The 26,623-nt window shown below is 42.6% G+C and overlaps 1 long non-coding RNA gene across 1 annotated transcript in view, besides 2 other annotated features; it reads left to right on the forward strand.

The window, feature by feature from the left end:
• The window catches only part of LINC01933 (long intergenic non-protein coding RNA 1933), a 311,552-nt gene that overhangs the window by 109,226 nt on the left and 175,703 nt on the right, over window positions 1–26,623 (forward strand). The gene's annotated exons all lie outside the window — the stretch shown is intronic.
• Window positions 2,608–2,848: a silencer, noted in NCBI's record as "fragment chr5:151450292-151450532 (GRCh37/hg19 assembly coordinates)". NCBI's record gives its function as "represses an EF-1alpha promoter that drives an FKBP-Casp9 reporter gene in an ReSE screen in HepG2 liver carcinoma cells {active_cell/tissue: HepG2}" and the evidence as "EXISTENCE:reporter gene assay evidence [ECO:0000049][PMID:32094911]".
• Window positions 9,070–9,658: an enhancer, noted in NCBI's record as "NANOG-H3K27ac-H3K4me1 hESC enhancer chr5:151456754-151457342 (GRCh37/hg19 assembly coordinates)". NCBI's record gives its function as "activates a minimal SCP1, AML or CMV promoter by ChIP-STARR-seq in naive H9 embryonic stem cells {active_cell/tissue: H9 hESC(naive)}" and the evidence as "EXISTENCE:reporter gene assay evidence [ECO:0000049][PMID:30033119]".

The raw sequence follows: 26,623 nt of genomic DNA on the forward strand, positions 1-26,623 counted from the left end.
GGACATGGCCTATAAGACCTATCAGGATCTGGGCCCTGGCTCTCCCTGAGGCTCATTTTCCATTATGCTGTCTCTTGTGTTTTCTCTGCTCAGACTTACTGATCATCTTATTGAACTTCCTGCTCACCATGTTTCAATCATAGGTGCTTTGTTCATGGTCGTATCTCTGCCTGGAGTGGTTTTTCCATCCCATCTTCTACCTAAACCGCACCTACTCCTCCTGCAGATCTTAGATTAAGCCTTCCCTGACCTCTACAACTAGTTCAAATCCTTCTTTTATAGGCTTTCACATTATCCTGAACCTCTCCTTCATGGCACATGGTAGAGTTGCAATTTTATATATACATACAATATTTTTATTTTATGTCAGTCTTTCCTGATTAGTCTTTCTCTGTTTTGCTCGTCACTGTTTTCCAGCACCCAGCACAGTACCTGGCACTTAATAGATGGTCAATGAATATTTGTCCAATGAATGAGAATCCTCAAAGAGAATTCATGTTTCTGGTCTCAACCTCCTGGCTTCAAGTGATTCTCCTGCCTTAGGCTCCTAAAATGCTGGGACTACAGGTGTGAGCCACTGCACCCGGCCCGATTCATGTTTCTGTACCATTGCTCTAGTTCATTGATCTCTAAGTGGTGTTTTGTATATCACTAGCTAATGTGCATGGTGATTAACTGCTAATAAATGTCAAAGCTGGGACTTGAACCCAGGTCTTCTGCATGACAAGCAAGCAACTTAAGAGTTTAACTGGAAGGCTTGCTGCTTAAATGGCTCCCTCTTGATTCAAGAGTGAAAGGGGTATGGTGATTAGAGGCTTGCCCTAGGAGTACTCCTGCTCCAAAGTCAATGATCTAGAACTGTAGGTTTAGAGATGTGGATAAGTAAATGATTCATTGGGAAATGGCTCTGAGCCTTCTGAGAACCTTAAGAAACATATTCTTTTTTACTCCTGGCTGGTCATGCATAAGACTTAGAAACGAATGATAACAGAATATATTTTCTGTCCCTCTTTGACATCACCTGAGTTTCAGTAAAATGTAATCTTCTATGGGTGGAAGAGAGTTTATAGAGCCGGCCAAGTCTGATCGCCACCTGTGTCTTCCACCAACCCAGATGTATGTCCCTACCTGCTTATTAACTTTTGATGAGAAACGTTCCGGGAAGAACCTGCATCCATATGTCCCCTTGATTTATGTCTTCCTCTGCATTCTCACTGCTACCATCATGAGACCCTTGCCACCTCAAGCACTGGTCCTGTTTGGAGTATTCATAATATTCGGGGTAGAGCATCAGTTCTCCCTGAGCTGATTTATTTCTCATCTCAATATTATTAGTCTTCCTTATTCAGAGAAGCTCAAGGGACTACAGTAGTTCCCTGTTACCTGCAACATCAACATGAGGCTTTTCTCCAGGGTCTTCAAGTAACGTCTTAATCTTTTTCCATTTGTCTTCATCTCCTATTACTCCTTAGTATATGCCATTAGAATGCTTTTTATCCCATTATCTATCAACCAGTTATATAACTCACATGTTCAAATACTTACTGAGCCCTACTATATGCTAGGCACTGTATTGCACACTAGGGTACAGCAGGAGCAAGATAGTCACAGCACCTTCCCTCATGGACCTATGATCCATAAGGAGAGACAAACATTTAAACAACTCCATTCACCGTTGCTTGTTTCGTTAAAATGGTAGTAAGGGCTACAAAGAATGGAGGGGTGCTCAAAGTGTGTTACAGGGGAACCTTACTTTGTAAGGAGAATCAGGGAAGTCTTCTTTGGGAGGAAATGGTGAAGTTGAATCAGAGATAATTCCTTATATTCATTCCCATTTTCTATCTAGTCCTGTGCTTTTTGAATCCCTAGGAAAAGCAGCCTTTCTTTCCTCTTTCTACACAAAAGCTACTCATTCCTTAGTTGTAACTTATTTCAGTGAGTTGACGGAAAAATATGACAGTTAAAAGCTCAGATGCTTAAATCAGAGAATTGAAGTCGAAACCCAGCTCCACCATCTCTTGGCCTGGTGTCTTTATGCAAGTTATTTACATTGCTAAGCCATAATTTGCTCAAATGCCAGGTGAGGATTGTAATACATTCCTCTCAGAATCATTCTGGGTGTGAAGTACTTAGCACCGTGCTGACACTTAGTAAATGCTCAATTAATAATGGCCAAAATTACCATAATGATCAACTCCTGGGTTGACGTCCAGGACCTGCTTCCTTCTGTTTTTTCAAAAAAACTCAGTCTGTACACACTAGCCAGATACTCTGCCAGATGTTGGAGACACATCAATAAATAAGGTGGCCCTGCCCTCAACCCTGGAAAATCCTTTTGGATCTCAGCTTCATCTTCATGGTGAGGGCCAAACCTACTCTTAGGCTCAAATGACATGAACCCAGGCCCTAAAGTGACATGGTATGGCACCTATTCCCACACCTACTTTGGAGACTTGGTTCTGAAACTTTTCTCTGCCTGGTGCCCTGTGCCTGAACCCCTGCCTGGATTACCTGCCTCTACCTGAATTTCCCACAGGGCTGGTGGTAGCCTTTTGCTTACTGGTTCCTCTATCTTGTATCACACTCAACACACAGCTCTGCTTGCGGTAACTCCTAGGCAAAGGCTGGTTCACTGATCATGCTGAGAGCTCCAAGATTAACTTTGCTTCTTTGTCAGTCTTATCTTCTGGTACATGGGATTTTTACCAAGCAGCTCAAGTTGACTTTGTAGCTTTCACTCCCCAGGTTGGGCAGCACTGAGTGGATGCTAGGAGTGCTGACTACTTGGCTGGGCAAAACAAAACCTGCTGTCTCCAGCTCAGGCCCACTAATCAAGAGGTCCGTGGGCCTCTTGATTGTCCACTGATGAGAACTAGCTTTGAGAATATGGGATTGAATCTTCCTTTGTGGGAACAACTCCTGTATAGCCTGACTTGGATATCCATAGAGTTGGGGGTGAAGTATTCTGTATGAGAACCTTCTAGGGGTAGGGCAGAAATCTTTAACTCTTACTTAACAGAATAACCCTTTCTTTTTTAATGAACTCTGTATACAACAGATAAAGGGATGCTTCTTGGAGGGGGTGAGGCTTGGCTAGGAGGGTAGAACACAGACTGTGGTTTATGTCCTTGTCCACCTGCCCTCCTCAACTTTAGGTCTGCATTTGAGACCCATCTTTGATATGTGCTAACTTAGGACTTGGGGAAAACATTGCCCAAGTCTTGACTTTGGGTTCCTCATCTGTGGGGATTCATTCATTCATTCAACTATATTCTTAACACCAGATATGTACCAAGACTATGCTAGGAATACTGAAATGCACAAAACAGACATTGGGGTCATGGGACTTACTCAGGTGAGGGAGACACAGTCATGAAAACGAAGCCTATGACAAAATGAGTGAAGGAGAGTTTTGCTGTCCTGAGAGAGGTGTGGTGTGGCAAGGGTGGGTGTGGGGGCAGACCTTGAGTGCTAAGGAATAGTCTATCCTAACAGTATAAACAGGGGGCAATGATACTATCCCTTTTAACCTTACAGGTATTGATTGTGTGGCTAAGTGAGATAATTTGAGAACTCTTTGGCTTCAGACACATGTAAAAACTGCTTCTCAAAAGTCACTTTCCAAAGATAGTAGCCCCTTTTCTTACACAATCTAATGAGAACTAACCCTCATGAAATCCTAAACTTACCCTTTATCGCCTTAATTGTAGTTGTTAGTTAATTATATATTTAGCATCTGCTTTCTCTCTAAAGCTAGAAGGATGGGGGTTGTATCTGTCTTCATCTGTCTAACCCCAGCCCTGACTATAACTGAGTAGATGCTTGATAAATATTTATTGAATGAATCAATAAAGTGATTAGAGAGGACACTGAGATCTAATATGTGGTTTGGAAAATTATAGTATTCTGCAGATTTGGGAAATGTCTCATTTGGGGATTTAGAGGCCACCGAATCAACCTTATCTTATGCATGAGGAAAAAAGACCCAGAGAGGGGAGGCAACCTGGCCAAGCCACACACTGAGTCACTGGCTCACTGTGTTATTGTTCTCTTAGTTCATGGTTGTTTTCTTCATAGCTATAGCTGTTTTATCTGAAGTGAGATAAGCTCTTAGGATTGTCTCTTAAAGTATAAGTCTGTGCCTCTGTATTAGGACTCAGGCAAGCAAAGTAGCCACCCTTGGAAATTCCTCTCTCCTGGCCTGCTGTCAATGCCTGGCACCCTGCCATTAGGGAAGCATCACATTGCATTCAGTTTTGTCCTCTACAGCTGCCTGTTTGAGAAGGCGTGTGTGATTGGGAGAGGTAGCCAAAACCCCATTTGGTAAAACGTGTATCTAAGTGATCTGCTGCTTGGAATGTGAAATTCAGATGAACATGAATGTTTGTTTAAAGAATGCTAGCACTGTAAAGAGAGCTATAAACATAAGGGATAGCTAACTGATGGGTAGAGAGGAGGCGTAGGGTATGTGAACTCAGTTGGATGCAGAGGGGATGTCACACAGACACAAAGAACCAAAGGGAAATGTTTGTAGAAATGAAGCATTGGCAAGCAACATGAGTTGCTGCAAGTTGCAGGCACTGCACTGCATGGAGGAAAAGGATGGCACAGATGAACCAGAGGCAGCTGGGTCAGTTTGTTTTTGCACTCCCCAAATTGTTATTGAATGTTCCCAGGTGCCCAAGCCCTGTGCCAATGCCTGGAGTCTGGGCAGAGCAGAGAGAGATGGCAGTCCCTCCTCTCATCGTGATTGTAAAGTGGAGGGAGAGACAGATATTAAGCAAATAATCGTGGTAAAAAATTATATAAACTTTGATAATTGTGCCAAAGGAATAGGATGTGATCCTGTGAGAACAAGTAATATGGAAACTCCCCAAGACTGTGTGCAATGGGGAAAGTGGAGGGGTAGGGGTGTGTGTGTGTGTGTGAGGAGTGAGCAACCTTTCCTGAGAACGTGAGCTAAAACCTAAAGGATGAGCTGAAGCTAACTAGATGGATGAAGGCCTGAGGAAAAGCAAGAGTTCCAAGTAGAGGGAACAGCATGTTAAAAAGCCATGAGTCAGAAGGAAGCAGGTAGCAGGAAACAGAGGAAAGTAAGGGAGCGAGGGGGTTAATTTCTGCAATAAAAGGCTTGGGAGGGCAAGCAGGGATGCCGACCTTGCTGATCCTAGAGGCCCAGTGCTACTCAGAGTGGTCTCTGTGTGGGGGCCGCACTCCAACTGTGAATTATAGACCTGTAGGGAGCTAGGCACAGAATGGAGAATAAGCTTTTAGTGCAACTTGACAGAGCAACTTTATGTCTGCTGAAGCTAGTATTTTGTATGTCTTTTTAATTCATTTTCAAGCAATTCATTGTTATTTTACAACTTTTCAATTGTTTTCAACGGATTGGGGTCGAGGAAACCTGGTCGTTTACTCTAGAATTTGGTCTTTATTCAGAAGCCGTGGAATGATTTTGAATAGGGGGCATGACAGAATCATATGCTCAGTTTTGCAAGGCTGTTGCGGGCACAGCAGAAGGCCGGGAGGCAGCAAGGGGGCCAACCTAGGGGGTCTGGAGAGAGGAGGGTGCAGCTTAGGCCAGGGAGCTGGCTGAAAGGATGGAGAAACATGAATGGATTTAGGATTGGGCAGAACTGACTTCTTTGGCAGGAATTTTTGTCAAGGCAGACAAAAGAGAACGGGAAAGAAGACTTTATTTAGAGAGAGCCTGGTGGGTTGGTAGTAGAAAGTTTTATTGCTGGCAGTACAGAGGGGCCAACATTTCCCAGAAAGAAAGGTTCTCTTTCCCTCAATGGGCAAGAGAGCTGGGAGCACTTGTCTGGGTGAAGGAAGAAACAGGGAGCTGCCACCCATGACTCGTCCACAAGTGCTGGGTGCTGGGCCAGAGAAGGGCATTGGAGAGGTTTGACCCTTGACAGTGCTCACTAGCTCTCTACAACCTGCAGGTTCATATATAATGTGATTAGTGCTTCCTGGGGCATGTGGGCAAGTGAAGAGCTCAGTAGATTGAGTTGCCATGGTAGGGGAAGACCATGTCCCAAAAAATAGGTTACTTTGTGTGAAGAGGGAACTCTACTCCAGTCCTTGCCAACAAAGCATCACCATTTTGACCTTTGTTTTGGATCCCAGGTGCTGTCTAGCAGTAGTCTAACCAAGCTTCAAGGATAGTTTGGCAGAGGAGAGGCAGACATGGTGGGGTGCACCTGAGTGAGCTGTTATTGGTGTTATCTGGGCCCCTAAAAGGCTCTAGAAGACTGGCTTCTTTTAAATATTTCTCAGTTAAGTACTGGTCCTTCTGTGAATTTTGCTGCATTTGAGATATTTCATTTATCAGCCACATTGCTGCAATAAATCAAATTTGCTCTGGTCATACTCTTTACCTAGTGGCAGTTGGAAAATGGATTCAGGTCTTTGTCAATTTAATCTCAGATCTGTTTTGCTGAAGGCAAAGCCAAGAGGGTGACAGAATCACAGGTCATTGCCACAATAGAAGGGTACTGGTCCTATCTGGTAGAAGTCAGAGGCAGTGGTTAGGTGGAAGGCATGACCCTCTGTCCACACTTCTCCTATTCACAATGCCTTTACTCCTGTCAGGGCATGCGGATTTAATATGATAGAATTATGTATTATCAGTGCATAAAGACATCTTAATGATTATCTATAGCTTAGGAATGGCAAAAACAAGGCATCCTTGCCATTACTTCCTTTTCTCTTTCAGGCAGATATCAAGAATTGATCCCCATATTCTATGTAGCCTCAGAATCCTTCTCAACACACCACTCCAAGCAGATACTACTGATCAGCTGGAGTTAGCATGTAATCTAAGGAGACTTACATTAGTTTCCTTGGACTGCTTTAATAAAGTACCACAAACTGAATGGCTTAAAGCAGCAAACCCTTTTCCTTTCACAGTGCTGGCAACTAGAAGTCCAAAATTGAGGTGTTAGCAGGGCCATGCCCTCTCCAAAAGGTCTAGGAAAGAATTCTTTTTTGCCTCTGAGTTTCTGTTGGTTGACATCAACACTTGGTGTTCCTTGGCTTGTAGGTGCATTACTCCAGGCTCTGCCTCTGTCTTCATGTGGCCTCTTTCCCTATTTGTCTGTGCCCAAATTTGCTTCCTTTTATTAGGATACCAGTTACAGGATTAGAATCCACCCTAGTTCAATTGAATAGAGACTTGAACATGCCAAAAATTCGTAAAATCATACATGAAAATGATAATCTACATTTAGGATGGTGATGAACTCCAGGGAAGAAAAAGAGGGATTGAAATTGAGAAGAGGTCCCCAGAGTGATTTGAATCTATTTGTAATCCATTACTGTGCCTAGCTCCCCACAGATCAATAATTCACAGCTTGAGTACAGCCCCCCAACACAGACCACTCTCAGTAGCACTGGGCCTCTAGCATCAGCAAGGTCTGCATCCCTGCTTTTCCTCCCAAGCCTTGTGTTGCAGAAATCCACCCTAGTTTACCCTCATCTTAACTTGATTACATTTGCACATTTATCCCAGGTGAACAGACATTTTGGGGGGTACACTATTCAACCCAGTATAAGACCCAGAGCTATCCAGATCCCATTCTAAATTCCCATTTTGCAGATGAGAAATCTGAGGTTTAGAGAGAAAAAGGGACTTGCTGAAAATTACATGATTATTAACAATAGGTGCAAGATAGGACTTAGAATTCCAGACTGCCAGTCTATTGTTTTTCTGGTGTATATCTGAATGAAGCATTAGAAAAAAGACTGCTCCTCTTTCCCAGGAAAGGCTTAAATAATCTAGTTTGATTATGTAAGTTTGGTTTGTTTCTGTGAATTTCTACCCTCAAGAGTAACCCAACTGAGCAAGAAAAGTGACGATTCTTGCTTTCAAGTTATGATGCTTTCCATGAGACTGAGTCTGAAAGGAGATTGTGGTAAAGTGAAGTCCTGACCTGCCATGTGCTGAGTGTTCCTAGCCTGGTTCCAAGCACCACTCTGGACGTACACAGATAGATGCTTGACAGGTATTTGGTGAATTTGATGTGCAACACATGTTTGGTAAATAAAAATTTCATATATCATTTGCTTTTGCCTGTTTTGACACAGAAGAAACTTCGGAATAATAAAGCTGATTTGGGAAAGGTAGAGAGAACTGGAAGTATCTCTAGACAGAATGTAAAAGATATAGACCAGAAAGAAATGGGAAGTGGCAAAACTGGGGACTGCCTTTACCTATTTCATTCACTTCATGCTTATTCTGACTCTAGTTACCAGGGAAGGAGGGAAGAGAGCAAACATAGAATACCTTTGCAGTGTTTCTCGGCTTGCATTATGCCAAGCATTGGGCTGGGTGCTTTATAAACATCCTTGATGTAATTCTCTTAACTTAGATAGATGCTATTATGCCTACTTTATAGGTTAGGAAAAAGTAATTCATTTGTCCAAAGTCACACAGCTAGTAAATCTTGGGGTCTGGACTGAAAGCAATTCTTTTCCAAAACCATTTTCTTTTTAAAATGTATACCTAACTGAGTTGTGGGTATCACTTCTGTTTCAGGAGCAAGGCATGAGAAGCTCTATCTTTGCAAATAATTTGCTTTGGATAAAGCTATTTCTTTTGCAGAAGCATCACATGTCATCTGAACATTTAAAAAATATTTTTTGTGTCTCTTAGAAATTCTCGTGACATTTCCATCATATAGCCTTTAGATAGTGTGGTCTTCAAAATTAGATAGTGTGGTCTTCAAAATTACATGGTGGAGCTCCGGTCTACAGCTCCCAGCGTGAGCGACGCAGAAGACGGGTGATTTCTGCATTTCCATCTGAGGTACCAGGTTCATCTCACTAGGGAGTGCCAGACAGTGGGCGCAGGCCAGTGTGTGCGCGCACCGTGCGCGAGCCGAAGCAGGGCGAGGCATTGCCTCACCTGGGAAGCGCAAGGGGTCAGGGAGTTCCCTTTCCGAGTCAAAGAAAGGGGTGACGGACGCACCTGGAAAATCGGGTCACTCCCACCCGAATATTGCGCTTTTCAGACCGGCTTAAGAAACGGCGCACCACGAGACTATATCCCACACCTGGCTCAGAGGGTCCTACGCCCACGGAATCTCGCTGATTGCTAGCACAGCAGTCTGAGATCAAACTGCCAGGCGGCAACGAGGCTGGGGGAGGGGCGCCCGCCATAGCCCAGGCTTGCTTAGGTAAACAAAGCAGCCGGGAAGCTCGAACTGGGTGGAGCCCACCACAGCTCAAGGAGGCCTGCCTGCCTCTGTAGGCTCCACCTCTGGGGGCAGGGCACAGACAAACAAAAAGACAGCAGTAACCTCTGCAGACTTAAATGTCCCTGTCTGACAGCTTTGAAGAGAGCAGTGGTTCTCCCAGCACGCAGCTGGAGATCTGAGAACGGGCAGACTGCCTCCTCAAGTGGGTCCCTGACCCCTGACCCCCGAGCAGCCTAATTGGGAGGCACCCCCCAGCAGGGGCACACTGACACCTCACACGGCAGGGTATTCCAACAGACCTCCAGCTGAGGGTCCTGTCTGTTAGAAGGAAAACTAACAACCAGAAAGGACATCTACACCGAAAACCCATCTGTACATCACCATCATCAAAGACCAAAAGTAGATAAAACCACAAAGATGGGGAAAAAACAGAACAGAAAAACTGGAAACTCTAAAACGCAGAGTGCCTCTCCTCCTCCAAAGGAATGCAGTTCCTCACCAGCAACAGAACAAAGCTGGATGGAGAATGATTTTGACGAGCTGAGAGAAGAAGGCTTCAGACGATCAAATTACTCTGAGCTACGGGAGGACATTCAAACCAAAGGCAAAGAAGTTGAAAACTTTGAAAAAAATTTAGAAGAATGTATAACTAGAATAACCAATACAGAGAAGTGCTTAAAGGAGCTGATGGAGCTGAAAACCAAGGCTCGAGAACTACGTGAAGAATGCAGAAGCCTCAGGAGCCGATGCGATCAACTGGAAGAAAGGGTATCAGCAATGGAAGATGAAATGAATGAAATGAAGCGAGAAGGGAAGTTTAGAGAAAAAAGAATAAAAAGAAATGAGCAAAGCCTCCAAGAAATATGGGACTATGTGAAAAGACCAAATCTACGTCTGATTGGTGTACCTGAAAGTGATGGGGAGAATGGAACCAAGTTGGAAAACACTCTGCAGGATATTATCCAGGAGAACTTCCCCAATCTAGCAAGGCAGGCCAACGTTCAGATTCAGGAAATACAGAGAACGCCACAAAGATACTCCTCGAGAAGAGCAACTCCAAGACACATAATTGTCAGATTCACCAAAGTTGAAATGAAGGAAAAAATGTTAAGGGCAGCCAGAGAGAAAGGTCGGGTTACCCTCAAAGGAAAGCCCATCAGACTAACAGCGGATCTCTCGGCAGAAACCCTACAAGCCAGAAGAGAGTGGGGGCCAATATTCAACATTCTTAAAGAAAAGAATTTTCAACCCAGAATTTCATATCCAGCCAAACTAAGCTTCATAAGTGAAGGAGAAATAAAATACTTTACAGACAAGCAAATGATGAGAGATTTTGTCACCACCAGGCCTGCCCTAAAAGAGCTCCTGAAGGAAGCGCTAAACATGGAAAGGAACAACCGGTACCAGCCACTGCAAAATCATGCCAAAATGTAAAGACCATCGAGACTAGGAAGAAACTGCATCAACTAATGAGCAAAATCACCAGCTAACATCATAATGACAGGATCAAATTCACACATAACAATATTAACTTTAAATATAAATGGACTAAATTCTGCAATTAAAAGACACAGACTGGCAAGTTGGATAAAGAGTCAAGACCCATCAGTGTGCTGTATTCAGGAAACCCATCTCACGTGCAGAGACACACATAGGCTCAAAATAAAAGGATGGAGGAAGATCTACCAAGCCAATGGAAAACAAAAAAAGGCAGGGGTTGCAATCCTAGTCTCTGATAAAACAGACTTTAAACCAACAAAGATCAAAAGAGACAAAGAAGGCCATTACATAATGGTAAAGGGATCAATTCAACAAGAGGAGCTAACTATCCTAAATATTTATGCACCCAATACAGGAGCACCCAGATTCATAAAGCAAGTCCTGAGTGACCTACAAAGAGACTTAGACTCCCACACATTAATAATGGGAGACTTTAACACCCCACTGTCAACATTAGACAGATCAACGAGACAGAAAGTCAACAAGGATACCCAGGAATTGAACTCAGCTCTGCACCAAGCAGACCTAATAGACATCTACAGAACTCTCCACCCCAAATCAACAGAATATACATTTTTTTCAGCACCACACCACACCTATTCCAAAATTGACCACATAGTTGGAAGTAAAGCTCTCCTCAGCAAATGTAAAAGAACAGAAATTATAACAAACTATCTCTCAGACCACAGTGCAATCAAACTAGAACTCAGGATTAAGAATCTCACTCAAAGCCGCTCAACTACATGGAAACTGAACAACCTGCTCCTGAATGACTACTGGGTACATAACGAAATGAAGGCAGAAATAAAGATGTTCTTTGAAACCAACGAGAACAAAGACACCACATACCAGAATCTCTGTGACGCATTCAAAGCAGTGTGTAGAGGGAAATTTATAGCACTAAATGCCTACAAGAGAAAGCAGGAAAGATCCAAAATTGACACCCTAACATCACAATTAAAAGAACTAGAAAAGCAAGAGCAAACACATTCAAAAGCTAGCAGAAGGCAAGAAATAACTAAAATCAGAGCAGAACTGAAGGAAATAGAGACACAAAAAACCCTTCAAAAAATCAATGAATCCAGGAGCTGGTTTTTCGAAAGGATCAACAAAATTGATAGACCGCTAGCAAGACTAATAAAGAAAAAAAGAGAGAAGAATCAAATAGACACAATAAAAAATGATAAAGGGGATATCACCACCGATCCCACAGCAATACAAACTACCATCAGAGAATACTACAAACACCTCTACGCAAATAAACTAGAAAATCTAGAAGAAATGGATACATTCCTCGACACATACACTCTCCCAAGACTAAACCAGGAAGAAGTTGAATCTCTGAATAGACCAATAACAGGCTCTGAAATTGTGGCAATAATCAATAGTTTACCAACAAAAAAGAGTCCAGGACCAGATGGATTCACAGCCGAATTCTACCAGAGGTACAAGGAGGAACTGGTACCATTCCTTCTGAAACTATTCCAATCAATAGAAAAAGAGGGAATCCTCCCTAACTCATTTTATGAGGCCAGCATCATTCTGATACCAAAGCCGGGCAGAGACACAACCAAAAAAGAGAATTTTAGACCAATATCCTTGATGAACATTGATGCAAAAATCCTCAATAAAATACTGGCAAACCGAATCCAGCAGCACATCAAAAAGCTTATCCACCATGATCAAGTGGGCTTCATCCCTGGGATGCAAGGCTGGTTCAATATACGCAAATCAATAAATGTAATCCAGCATATAAACAGAGCCAAAGACAAAAACCACATGATTATCTCAATAGATGCAGAAAAAGCCTTTGACAAAATTCAACAACCCTTCATGCTAAAAACTCTCAATAAATTAGGTATTGATGGGACGTATTTCAAAATAATAAGAGCTATCTATGACAAACCCACAGCCAATATCATACTGAATGGGCAAAAACTGGAAGCATTCCCTTTGAAAACTGGCACAAGACAGGGATGCCCTCTCTCACCGCTCCTATTCAACATAGTGTTGGAAGTTCTGGCCAGGGCAATCAGGCAGGAGAAGGAAATAAAGGGTATTCAATTAGGAAAAGAGGAAGTCAAATTGTCCCTGTTTGCAGACGACATGATTGTTTATCTAGAAAACCCCATCGTCTCAGCCCAAAATCTCCTTAAGCTGATAAGCAACTTCAGCAAAGTCTCAGGATACAAAATCAATGTACAAAAATCACAAGCATTCTTATACACCAACAACAGACAAACAGAGAGCCAAATCATGGGTGAACTCCCATTCACAATTGCTTCAAAGAGAATAAAATACCTAGGAATCCAACTTACAAGGGATGTGAAGGACCTCTTCAAGGAGAACTACAAACCACTGCTCAAGGAAATAAAAGAGGACACAAACAAATGGAAGAACATTCCATGCTCATGGGTAGGAAGAATCAATATCGTGAAAATGGCCATACTGCCCAAGGTAATTTACAGATTCAATGCCATCCCCATCAAGCTACCAATGACTTTCTTCACAGAATTGGAAAAAACTACTTTAAAGTTCATATGGAACCAAAAAAGAGCCCGCATTGCCAAGTCAATCCTAAGCCAAAAGAACAAAGCTGGAGGCATCACACTACCTGACTTCAAACTATACTACAAGGCTACAGTAACCAAAACAGCATGGTACTGGTACCAAAACAGAGATATAGATCAATGGAACAGAACAGAGCCCTCAGAAATAATGCCGCATATCTACAACTATCTGATCTTTGACAAACCTGAGAAAAACAAGCAATGGGGAAAGGATTCCCTATTTAATAAATGGTGCTGGGAAAACTGGCTAGCCATATGTAGAAAGCTGAAACTGGATCCCTTCCTTACACCTTATACAAAAATCAATTCAAGATGGATTAAAGATTTAAACGTTAAACCTAAAACCATAAAAACCCTAGAAGAAAACCTAGGCATTACCATTCAGGACATAGGCGTGGGCAAGGACTTCATGTCCAAAACACCAAAAGCAATGGCAACAAAAGCCAAAATTGACAAATGGGATCTAATTAAACTAAAGAGCTTCTGCACAGCAAAAGAAACTACCATCAGAGTGAACAGGCAACCTACAACATGGGAGAAAATTTTCGCAACCTACTCATCTGACAAAGGGCTAATATCCAGAATCTACAATGAACTCAAACAAATTTACAAGAAAAAAACAAACAACCCCATCAAAAAGTGGGCGAAGGACATGAACAGACACTTCTCAAAAGAAGACATTTATGCAGCCAAAAAACACATGAAAAAATGCTCATCATCACTGGCCATCAGAGAAATGCAAATCAAAACCACTATGAGATATCATCTCACACCAGTTAGAATGGCAATCATTAAAAAGTCAGGAAACAACAGGTGCTGGAGAGGATGTGGAGAAATAGGAACACTTTTACACTGTTGGTGGGACTGTAAACTAGTTCAACCATTGTGGAAGTCAGTGTGGTGATTCCTCAGGGATCTAGAACTAGAAATACCATTTGACCCAGCCATCCCATTACTGGGTATATACCCAAATGAGTATAAATCATGCTGCTATAAAGACACATGCACACGTATGTTTATTGCGGCACTATTCACAATAGCAAAGACTTGGAACCAACCCAAATGTCCAACAATGATAGACTGGATTAAGAAAATGTGGCACATATACACCATGGAATACTATGCAGCCATAAAAAATGATGAGTTCATATCCTTTGTAGGGACATGGATGAAATTGGAAACCATCATTCTCAGTAAACTATCGCAAGAACAAAAAACCAAACACCGCATATTCTCACTCATAGGTGGGAATTGAACAATGAGATCACATGGACACAGGAAGGGGAATATCACACTCTGGGGACTGTGGTGGGGTCGGGGGAGGGGGGAGGGATAGCATTGGGAGATATACCTAATGCTAGATGACACATTAGTGGGTGCAGCGCACCAGCATGGCACATGTATACATATGTAACTAACCTGCACAATGTGCACATGTACCCTAAAACTTAGAGTATAATAAAAAAAAAAAAAAAAAAAAAAAAAAAAAACAAAATTACATGGTGGACACTTACAACCCTTAGGTGACTTAAAAGAAAAGCTTTACTGAGATATAATTTACTTATAAAATTCATCCACTTTAAGTATGAAATTCAATGATTATTATTATATTACAGAATTGTGCAACTGTCACGTAAATTGAATTCCTTTGGTAACTTAGTTTGTACGCTGTAACGGATCAATTATCCAAGAGGATGAGAGAAGTCATTGCAGATATAAGGAACGACATGAATAAAGGTGTCAGGATGGGGACATAGAGATCATATGAAGAGGAGTGGATAGTCCTATTTGGCTGGGTATAAAATGAGTAAAAAGAGAAAAATAAATAATACTAGGGCTGGGTAATAACAATGAACAGATCATTTCCAGAGAGCTGGTTTGGTGGGAAGAAGGCACGGACTATTTGTTGTCCAAGGCAAAGCTGGTGGAGAAAGAAAGGAGGGAGGGTTAGTGACAGTTCCTCTGCTTTTCTCTATACTGTAGAGGGGACCCCGGTGGGGCCTCCAGCCAAGTTGGATGACAGCCAGTATGCCGAATGATGGATTTGCCAGATGAGCGAGTCATTAATTCCCTGAGGATATGTTATCTTGGCTTGCTCATGGCTTTATCTGTGAATGAATGAGCTTTGTCTGACCAGAACTTTGTTGTCTCTTAATTTTGTCACATATGGCCCATTCTTGCTGTTTATCTTCTGCCCCTTGTCTTCATCCTGCTTGTTCCCCTCTATCTCCTTCTCCTGCCTCTATCCTGGAGGTAAAATGGCAGTGGGCAGTTCTCCTAGAGTGAATTTGGGTATTTGTCTGACAGTTTTATATGAACAATCCTTTGCTGAATTGATTTTCACTGTACTAGCTTCTGTCTATCAGCTTTCGAGCCCAGACAGTTGGCTTTGATAGATACTTTGCCACTCCGTGATTTCTGCATTGACCTTTTGGTGCTTTCTTTTTTCCCTGCATATAAGGACAAAGGCCACAGCCATCCTCAGCAGGTCACGAACTTCAAGAAGGAAGAATTGTAATAGCAATTGTGAACTTCTTAGGCTTCCTCCAAAGGAAAGGGTGAGGTAAATGGAAGGCATTGTACAGTTATTATGTGATATCACATATATTAGTTTTTCTCTCCAAATCATTGCCTAGGGCTCTGTTTTGAAATTGGTTTTTACCCTCCTTGCTCTTATTGCAGCCTTCGATGTTCCCATTCCATATTTAACTTTTCTGCAATTCAGCACCTGCTCTGTTAGCACACTTCCCTTCCAGGCTTTTAGCGTGAAGCACCTGCATTTAGATCAGCCTAAGCTGTGTGGGATCAGGGTGTACTCACAGCCCAAACTTCTAGAACTTCCTCTCATTCCAAGGAGGGTGAGGGCCAAGGAACCTGGACCCCAGAAAGACTGCTTCTCCTGCCCTATTTAGTGTAGTGATTGAGAGTATGAATTCTGGTTTGAGCCATAGCTCTGCCACTTACCTGCTGTGTGACCTCAGGTAAGTACCTTAAACTCTCTGTACCTTAGTTCCCTTATCTGTAAAATGAAAGCCACAGTAGCACCCACCTCATAGGGCTGTGAGAAGAACTAAATGAGTTAATGCATGTAAAACACTTAGAGCAATGTCTGGCATATAATAAGTGCCCTGAAAGTATTAGTAATGTTGATTTTCTTAGCTATTAATTCTTATTTCCTTTTAAGCATATTGGGATGGCATCAGGAGGCCTGGATTCTGTTCCAGGCACAGCTGTCAAGTTTCCGCGCGACTCAGAGACGTCATTTCTCCAAAATTTGGCTTCCTCTTCAATTAAATGAGACTTACAGTCTCAGGCCTGCCCTGCTCATTGCCCAGAGTTGCTCTGAGGATAAAATGACACAGCAGACATAAACAGGCTTTGTAAATATGAAAGAGCTGCCTGCAGAAATGGTGGTGAGATGTTCCATGTTCTGTAGAGGGATGACCTTGTGAAGGTATTTCTTGGAAAAGGTGGCTTGGTCTCAGGGAACAAGAGTCCTCCTTGGAAACAGTGAGATCCTGATTATTCTCAGCCCTGATTGGCTTAGCATTGTTTTGAGATATCTTCTTTCTGGGGTCTCCTGGGAGAACAGTGGTGGTATTACCTCTTAGCATCAGCATTCTTAGTTGTAAACAACAGAAACCAGTGCTTGTTAATTTAAGCAGTAAAGTGGCAAAGGATTTAATTAGATGGAGTTGGGTAGCTCAGAGTGTCCTGGAGCACCAGAGAACCAGGAGGCTGTGGATCAGTGGCCAAAGTCACACAGCAGAACTGGTCCAGAATGGATGCCATGGTAGCACTGCTGGGCACAGGCTCTGCAGCTTATACTCACACAAGACAAGAGTGTTGTAGGGGGCACCCAGAACTGGAACTCATCATGGTCCAGGAATCTCTTAGCACAGCTACCCTCTGTGGGGAGGCTTTATTCTCTACCACCCCTGACTAGCTTTTCTTTTGGGTGGGAAACAGGGCCACATAGAGCGTTGCACCCATTTTTAAGTTCCACCACCAGAGGAAAGGATCATCTTCTTTTGGTTCTCATTCAAAGAAGGCAGCCCAGGAAAAGGATTGTCTCTGGTTGGCTGAGCTTTGGGCTATTGCCCATTCTTGGACCAATCAGTATAGAGCTTGGTGGTGAAATGTCAGGATTGGCCCAGCTTGCTGCCATGGGAAGTTTACAGCCCTGGGTGGAAGGATGCCATTGGAATGGTGCAAAGAGGAGGATAGATTTCTCAGAGGTGGGGATGGGAGATGGGAAGGGCTGATCTCGGTCATACTTTCACCATCAGGCACTACAGGGGGATTTGCAGTCTGCCCTTTTTTTTTTTGTTTACACTATGCTATGGCACTGACCAGGCCTTCATAATTCCATGTTAGCATCTCCCTGTCTATGCAGGGCTGTTTGATCACATCTCTCCTTGCACAAAAAACCTTCATTACTTTCAAACTAGAGTCCACGATCCTTATTATAAACACTGAAGATTTAATCCCATTCTTTTTTTTTTTTTCTTTTTTGAGATGGAGTCTCTCTCTGTCGCCCAGGTTGGAGTCCAGTGGCGTGATCTCGGCTCACTGCAAGCTCTGCCTCCCAGGTTCACACCATTCTCCTGCCTCAGCCTCCCGAGTAGCTGGGACTACAGGCACCCACCACCATGCCTGGCTAATTTTTTTGTATTTTTAGTGGAGACGGGGTTTCACCATGTTAGCCAGGATGGTCTCGATCTCCTGACCTCGTGATCTGCCCACCTCAGCCTCCCAAAGTGTTGGGATTACAGGCATGAGCCACTGCGCCCGGCCAACCCCATTCTTTTTTTAAAAATTTTTTTTATAATAATATATTTCAAACATAAAGAATAATAACATGAGTACATATGTACCCCCAATTGACCTTTAACAGATTTAACATTTTGCTATATTTGTTTAATGCTTTTTAAATAAACAGTAATGGATTACAAATAGATTCAAATCACTCTGGGGACCTCTTCTCAATTTCATTCCCTCCTTTTCTTCCTTGGAGTTCATCACCATCCTAAATGTAGGTTATCATTTTCATGTACGACTTTATGAATTTTTTGCATGTTCAAGTCTCTATTCAATGCATAGTATTGCTTTGCATATTTGTAAACTTTATAGAAATACTGCCCTACTATACATATCCTTTTGCAGTCTCCCTTTTGCATTGAACATTATTTTTGAGATTTATTCACACTGGTATGTGTAGATCTAGTATATATTCATTTTATCCGCCATATAGTGTTTTATTCATCTATCTCTGATTGATGGGTTTTTCTTTTTCTTTTTTTCTACCGTGAGCCCTGCAGCAGTGAGCATTCTTGTGCAAACCTTGGGGAGTATACGCAGGAGTGGAATCACATCAGGGAGAAGGACAGGCAAAACAAAGTCATAGCCCAACAACTTTCCCACCATGCAGAGCTAGCAGGTGATTAAACCCAGGAAATCCCTGGCAGGACTGATCAAACAGGGTTTAGCAGCTTGTGAAATGGGACTTTATTTCTTTAGCTAATCCCTTGTTGGGGAGGGGGAGGGAGATCTGAGATCTGACTTCAGCATGATCTGGAGGTAGGCGAGCCCAGACTACTTAAAATATTTGCTGATCACAGAGATGGGCCTTTTGAGTGACAAGAGAATGGCAGAGTGTACCTTTACTCCCCTTTCTTTGAGTCATGCCATAAACAGCATTTACTCTGCTTTGGAAAAATGCAGGGGTAAGAAAAAGCATAGAGTTTGGAGTCAGAGAGAGCCAAGTTTGTGTCTGTATGTCTGCCATTTACCAGTTGCATGACCATGTTAATTATTTACATTCTCTGAACCTCAATTTTCTTATCTGTGAAATGAGTCCCACTGATGTCCCGTGCTTTCAGCATCAGTAGTGCCACTGCCCTGAGTTGTCTGGATTGGGCTGTAGCCAGAAACCTCAAGTCCACCATGCCACGGTTCCTTGAGTCAAGTCCTGTTGGCTATAGACCTTCAGGTGAGCTCTGAATGTTGATGTTTCCTCCTCACCCAGGATTTACTGCATCTGCAAAGCACTCTGACTGCCTGCCAGGGCCTGAGCCTGTCTTGGAACTCTCTATGCATGACTGGATACCCAGCTAATTCTTACCAGGCCTCTTCTCTGTGGGACTTGACCCTAATTCTTATCTATTCCTTCCCTCTGGCCTTGCCATTGGATGTGGAATTTCCAAGAACTCATGTCATATTTGTATCATCATGACTCTCATATAGGCAGCTCCATATGTGGCACCCTTACTGTAAACCTGATGGTGAGCTCAGCCCTCTACATCTACATGTGTTTATATTGAAGTGTGTAGGAAGGGGTTGAGAGCACATTTCACTTTTTGGAGCCAGATACATTTGGTTTCAGAGTGTGAGCTTCCTTATCTTTTTTTTTTTTTTTTTTTTTTTAAGGTAATATGTTTCTGGATGACTAGATAAATTTTAAAAAAGATAATAAAACTTTTCTCCTGGGGTTATTATAAAGAGTAAAAATGTCATAAGAGTAATGCTTTTAGTATAGTGTCCAGCTCACACTCAGCACTCAATAAATTACAAGTCAACATGCTATAATAGGTTGAAGGCTACATGTAGAAGCGAGATAGCCAGAGTGATGAAAGGCATGGGCTCTGCAACCAGATGGGCTGAGTTTATATTCTGAACTCTCCACTTCTATGATACAGCCCTGGGCAGGTGATCGAACCTCTCTGTGCTTCAGCTCATTTATTCTCCAGAGGAGGATAATCATACAAACTCACAGGTCTTCAACTGTGAGAAACAAATGATGTTACCTATATAAAGCAGTGGGAACAGTGCCTGGCACACAGGAAACGTTCAATGCATGTCAATAAATTCATTACATTTATTATTTTATTTTACCATTATTTTAAATATATGTGTATATATAAATGTATAGGCATATATGCCATGAACTCAGGTTACAAGAACATAACTTTATTTTCCTAAAACTGAATCTACTTTCCTTCTTGAAGTCTATTCCATCAGAAGGCATAACATGGATTCTCATTACTGCCAGAGGAACTCAGTCATTTCAGTTATTTGGGACTTACAGGCTTAAACTCAGACAAATTCAGGATTTCCCTCTTTCCTTCCTTTCCCCTGGAGTTGATGTGGCAAGATGGCGGCATCCTCAGACAGGCATATTTGCCACGACCTGGGCTTTGTCGTCAGTACCCGTGGTGCTTGGCTGGTGGGACCATGCTGGGCTGTCACTTGGTCCTGTCTTTCACTGCATGTGGCTTTCTCATTTCTGCTGCCCTCAGAATGGCATAGAGGTTGATATGAGGGGTTTTCTGTCCTCCCAGAACTCCAGAGAAATTGGGAGACGAGAAGGGTGGTAAGGAAAGGGGCATAGGGCCCGTTATAAGTGTCTGAAGTCTTTCCTTTTCTTTCAACAGTTTTCTCCCCACCGAGCTGGGAGAACATTGTAACTTCGTGGTAGGGTGGAGGGGTGTGTGTGTTGATTTGCATTCTTCCTAGTCTTTCCTGTATTGTTCTTGAAACAAAGCTAAAAGTGAGGAAATTTTAGTGTCATTTTTTTCTGAGTTTGTTGTTATACTTCTCATTTTCAGGAGGCTTCAAATGTTTTGACCTAGACCTTGGACTTAGGGGATTGAAGGGGAAAAACACATCACAGTATTTTACTCACTGTTCCACCTGGAATACAGTTTCACAAGCTGGCTAACTAAGTACTGCCACTGTTTCCCCAATCATCCAGAAGAGGAAACAAACTCAGAAGTTGAGTAACTTGCTTACAGTCATCTAGGTAGAAAGGAGTGACTTAAAACCAGGTATGTGAGGCTCCAAACACATGCTTCACAACCTCTTTCTATGTAATGAGCCACCTGAGACAACAGCATCACTTCCCCACTGACTGTGGGCATTGCCAGCCTCCTAATTCTTCATCAGCCATAATGATGAAGGCCCTGCTAGGAGTCCCACTCCACTCCCTCATCAGGGATGGGCTGAGCCATCCCTGAAGCTGCACAATGTGCTGATCACTGAACATTGGACGGTCCAACTACCCTGTAGCAGAACAGCATTGATAATAATGTGTCTTCTCTCCTATTGTCTCATTCAGTCCCAGATTTCTCCATTTCCTGCTTGATGTGTGCATGCTAAGCACACGGAAACACATGATTTATGTATTAGGTTGATGCAAAAGTAATTGTGTTTTTTTCCCATTACTTTTAATAGCAAAAACTGCAATTACTTTTACACCAGCCTTAATAAATCTCTGTTAATAGTGAATAAATGTGTATCAAAGGGTTAAAGGCCTCTAAAGGGGCTGGCTCTTAGTCCTCTCGGTCTGTGGTGCAACAGGGCTCCTGGGCTCTGCTCATCCTAGCTGTCAGATTAATGGCAGGGACTTCTGCAGTGATCTCAGCCACACATGCTGCCTCTTCTATGTGACCCAGAACAGAGCTCAGAGTGAGGTCGTATTGATTTCATGAGAAGCTGGGCCTGCATCTTTTCTTTCACTCTAGGTTTGTTGGCTCCTGCCTGTAAGATGGCTGAAGGCTATCATTTTTGTGTGGAGGATTAATTAGAATAGATTTCTTTGACTTGGGATGCCAATAAAACCTGTGGTCTCCAGCTATTGATTTATGATGCTAAGCAGGAAGTGTTGGTCCCTGAACAGGCCCCAAGAAAGTAGTGGTATTGGGCATTTTGATGCTCGGGTGGTTAATTGTGGCAAACTGGAAAAGAATAAGAACACATAGGAGCTTTGGGGGGTACCGTGGTGGAAGGGAGATTGGTACAAGGGCCACCCTGATTCAGTGAATGAAAAGAGAATCTCATTTCCTGTGAATGATGTGGCTGAGAAATTGAAAGGGACATTTGTGAACTTTGGAGACTGAGATGATTGTGAGCAAATTAATAGCTAGATATCTGAGACGTTTGTTCTTATGCAGATAATTGAGTTCTGAAGAGAGAGAGGTCACTGGTCCTTCAACTTCTCCATCGTCTCAGAGTCCAAGTTATGATAAATTTCTAACTTTTATTCCCCAGATGACCTCTCAATTTAATTCAATTCAACAAGCATTTATTAGCACCTACTGTGGTGGTGGGAGGGAAGAGGGTATAAGAAAGCAAAAGTCAGCCCCAAGTGTGACAAACTCCTTAAGAGAATGGAACATGCCATTTTCAAACCGTGATTAGAATACAAAGTGGACTCTCGGAGGATGAGGGTGGCATAGGAGGAGAGATTTAGACTGAGAGTGAATGAGAACTTTTCATGATGGGTGGCATTTGAGCACAGTTTCAAGCACAGTGGCATGTGGCAAGGGGTTCCACATGAAGGAATCATCATCATGAAGAGGGTGGGCTTAGGACTTACTCAGGCTCTTTCCTTGGGTACTACTGTGACTGGAGCTTAGGTAAATGTAATAAAAATAGGTCAAAATATAGGTGTGGCCAAATCATGGAGAAACTGAAGAGCAGACTAGGGAGTTGGGGATTTGATTCTGTAAGTAGCGGGGAGCTATTGAAAGTCTTTGAGGAGGAGAGGGCCATGAATGATAAGACAGCCATCCAGGAAGCATGGTCCTGCATCCTGTGCCAATGAGATCAATGCAGCAAGGGAGGGGCAAAAGATGCCACTGAAGAAGTTACCACCACAGTCAGGGGAGAAAAAGATAGATATGTTAGGGGAGGCAGGTCAGGAAGGAGACCAATGATGTGGACTTTCAATCCTCAGTTTTGTCATCAGTAAAATGGGGGATCTATTATTGTTTCTAGGGTTTGAGAGTTGGTAGACTTAGGCGATGAAAGGAAAGGATGCATCAGAAATTTTTACTAGGTTTGCAGCCTGAGCATCATCTTTCTTAATCCCTTTTTCCTTCTGGCGCGCCCCCCCCTTTTTTTTTTTTAAACCTGGGAAGTTGCTGGCTATAAATAGGGTATATCTGGGACCTCGGTGTGTACGAATGAGTGGCCAGTTTGCAGGCACAAGATTAACAAGGTGCTGTCTTCCTGCCTAAATACTTGGCTTAGGAGTTGTAGAGAAACCAGGCAGTGTGGGAGCAAGAGGAGGACATGTGGGCAGAGCACCAGGAGGCTCTGCTTCAGACTACTGGCTAGAGATAAACAAGTCCTCCTCCTTCCTGACCCTCTGTCCCCAATTTGTCATTTAGTGATAACTTCCTGGCCTCAGGAGTCTTCTGTAAGGATGAAAGAGATTGTGCTCTCTTTTTAAAAGATAAAATACTAAAACTGCAATTAGTTATTATAGCCCTTTTGGGAAGCAGCATGATGGAGGCAGTGAAGAGCACTGGCTCTGGAGTCAGGCAGCCTGGGTTTGAGTCTTGTCTGCATTACTTACCAGCTTTGTGATGATAGGTAACCTAAATTCTCTGTGCTTCAATTTCCTCCTCAGTTAACATGAACGTAATAATAGTCGTCTGTTAGGTATGATGTGAGGAGGACTCACACAGTGCCTGGCACACTTGTTGCCGGATAAATGTTTGCAATGATGAGAATGATGCTGCCCTGCACTGCCAATGATGGGCTCTCTGAATACTAGTGTGCCTTTGATACCCATAAACCCAGCAAAACTATGCTGCTTGCATCTTTCCTTCCAGCTCCTGCCTCAATTTCTATTCAAGGTGGGCATCTCATTGCATCACAGAACATCACAGCAGTTAAGCAAGGAGGTTTCTCTCATCTAATACTTTATCTGTTCTTTCAACTACTGATCAGAAGGAATCTTACCTCCTGGTTATAGGGAATGCTCTACCTCTATAGACAGCCAAGTCCACGTATAGATAGCTTTGAAGATTAAAGTGCAAATCTACTTACTGATCTCTTCCTTTTTTGTTTGTGTGTATGTGCATGTATGTGTAAAACACACCCAAAAAATTACTTCCAGATACTCTCACTAATGCAAGAAGTGAGTCCTTAATAAAACATTGACTGTTGAGAAGGGAACAGTGGTAGAAAAAATAGTAAGATATGTACTCAAGATTTGGAAATGTAGAGAAATAAGTAAAATCAATTGAGAACAACCACCACATCTATAATGAGCTTCCCCTTCCCTGCCAGCTCACCCTTAGCTGAGGGGACTTACAAATGTAATGAGAAGAAATGGACTTTATGCTGTAGGCAGGATTTGGATTAGATGTTCAAGAGCTTCCTGCCTGGGAAGTGATCAGGGAATGTCCAGGCTTCTCCGGATTGTTCACATGTCTTCCCTGTATGTGCCAGGAGGTGCTTTCATACCAGGAACTTACTAATTGCAAGAAGGAGAGGAAGGAGAAGGAGAGGAGAGTCTATCAAAATCCACTCTGTTAAGGAGAAGTTCAATAGAGAGGCCAGTATTCAGAATGACTCATGCCCTGTCTGACTTCTCAACAGCTAGAGGTGCTTGGCTGGCTTGGGTTTCCCAGCTGCCTTGTGCTCAGAAGGCATTCAGGGGAGGCCTCAAACTGGCTTTAAGATTGATCTGGTTAGCACCAATATCACCTACTATGGGTTGTGAAAACTCTTTGGTCATAAAAATAATAGCAATACAGTAAAAACCTTGGCTATCTAAGAGGCCTCAGGAAATGAAGCATTTTGAATAGTGGAATTTTCCATAAAACTGAGGATTTAAAACCATTTAAGTAGAGGCTATTATTTTTGTATTTTAGATGGATTGAATCAATATAACATAACATTTCTTGTTTGCTTGGAGACAACAAACAAATGATAGTTATTGTTCTATGTCATTAATATAGTAGTTCCCTAGGGGATTAATGAATCACACAGTTTACCCCAAGACTAAATGCTGAAACCTTTGTGCCTGTTGAGATCTTCTGTCTGCTTTTTAGTTTTTCTGACCCTCTTTGCTACAGGACATCTTTGCCTCTCATTTCTTGCTAATCTCAGTACATCTGCCTGAAATGGTTTCTATTTTTTCTCTGATTTCTCTTGTCTTCATTTTCATATTATAAAGTACCATTGATCTTGCATATCATTGTTGTAACTGGTATCAGATCATTCAAGTAGAGGCTCTCTATATTTATATTAATTTATTTGTTTAACAAATGAGTATTGGGCATCTACTCTGTAGTAGGCAGCATGGTAAGTGCCAAAGATTCAATGATGAAAAACTGAGATGACATAAGTTGCTTATTGTTACAATCTGGCAACTGGCTTATAAAGGGTGCGTTGGCTCCACCCTTTATGCAAGTCCCTGTTTGTCAGTATATTCTAGCTTAGTGGTTCTCATATTTGAATGTGCCTCAGAATAACTTGGAGCACTTGTTAAACACACATAGCTGAGCTCCACTCCTGGAGTTTCTGGTTCTTGGGCGAGAAGGTGAGAATGTGCGTCTCTACTAAATTCCCATGGCATGGCCTGGGACTATACTTGGAGCGACACTTCCTTCGCCACATGACCTTCCCTTTGTTGTTCGAATGTCAGTCTTGTTTCTACCTCAAGGCATTTGCATTGAGGCACTTAGCGGGTGTGTACCCTCTGTCTGATCTTGGCCTGGCTGCCACTTGTCATCATGTTTTTAGGGAGGCCTCCCCTGAGCATCCTTATTTATGTTGCTCCCGTCTTCCCAGGCACTCAATGTCACTGCACTTGGTTTTGTTCCCTTCTTGGGCCTTTGCCACTCTTTGAAATTATCTCTATAGGATTGTCTCAGGGGTGGCTGTGATTGAAGAGATACTAACAGACCCAGGCAAAGAATGCATGTCTCTTTAATGCAATTAAAAGAAGTAAGAGTTTAAGTTCATGAAGACAGCTACACAAAGCAGAGGGCAGAGCAGCATTTTTTTTCACTGGAAGTCCCAGCCCTTCAAGTCCCTGTGGCTAGTAGTGTCAGCTGACTGAGGCAGAGGTCCCATAAGTCTCCCGAGCAGCTGCAACTCATCCATTCTCAGGGTCTTTATACACACCAGTCTCCTGTTTACTGATCTGCAGACACAGAGGAGTGTTTCCTGCAAGGTCGATTTCCCAGGTGAAAGATCTCCCAAGCAGGATGGAACTTCAAACTTTCCTGAGTCTTATATTTGTATTTATCTGTGTGATCTATTTTATTTTATTTGATAGCTGTCTTTTCTCCCACTAGCATATAAGCACCAAGAGAACAGGGGCATGTCTGTGTTCTCTTCCAGCATTTTCCAAGCACCTAGACAGGACCTGGCAGAAAATGGGCACTTAATATATATAAGCTCCCTCCTCCTTCCCTCACCTAATAGCAAAGTAAGTATGTGCCTCTTGAATGTAATTTAATTCTTTCAGGGAACTGAACAGACATGTTCTCAAAGAAAGCCTCTTCTGTTACCCTGTAGCTCATTTCAGAGCATGCTGAAGAAGGAGAA

This window comes from Homo sapiens, chromosome 5 (genome assembly GCF_000001405.40).
Source record: "Homo sapiens chromosome 5, GRCh38.p14 Primary Assembly".
In the NCBI taxonomy this organism is placed as follows: domain Eukaryota; kingdom Metazoa; phylum Chordata; class Mammalia; order Primates; family Hominidae; genus Homo; species Homo sapiens.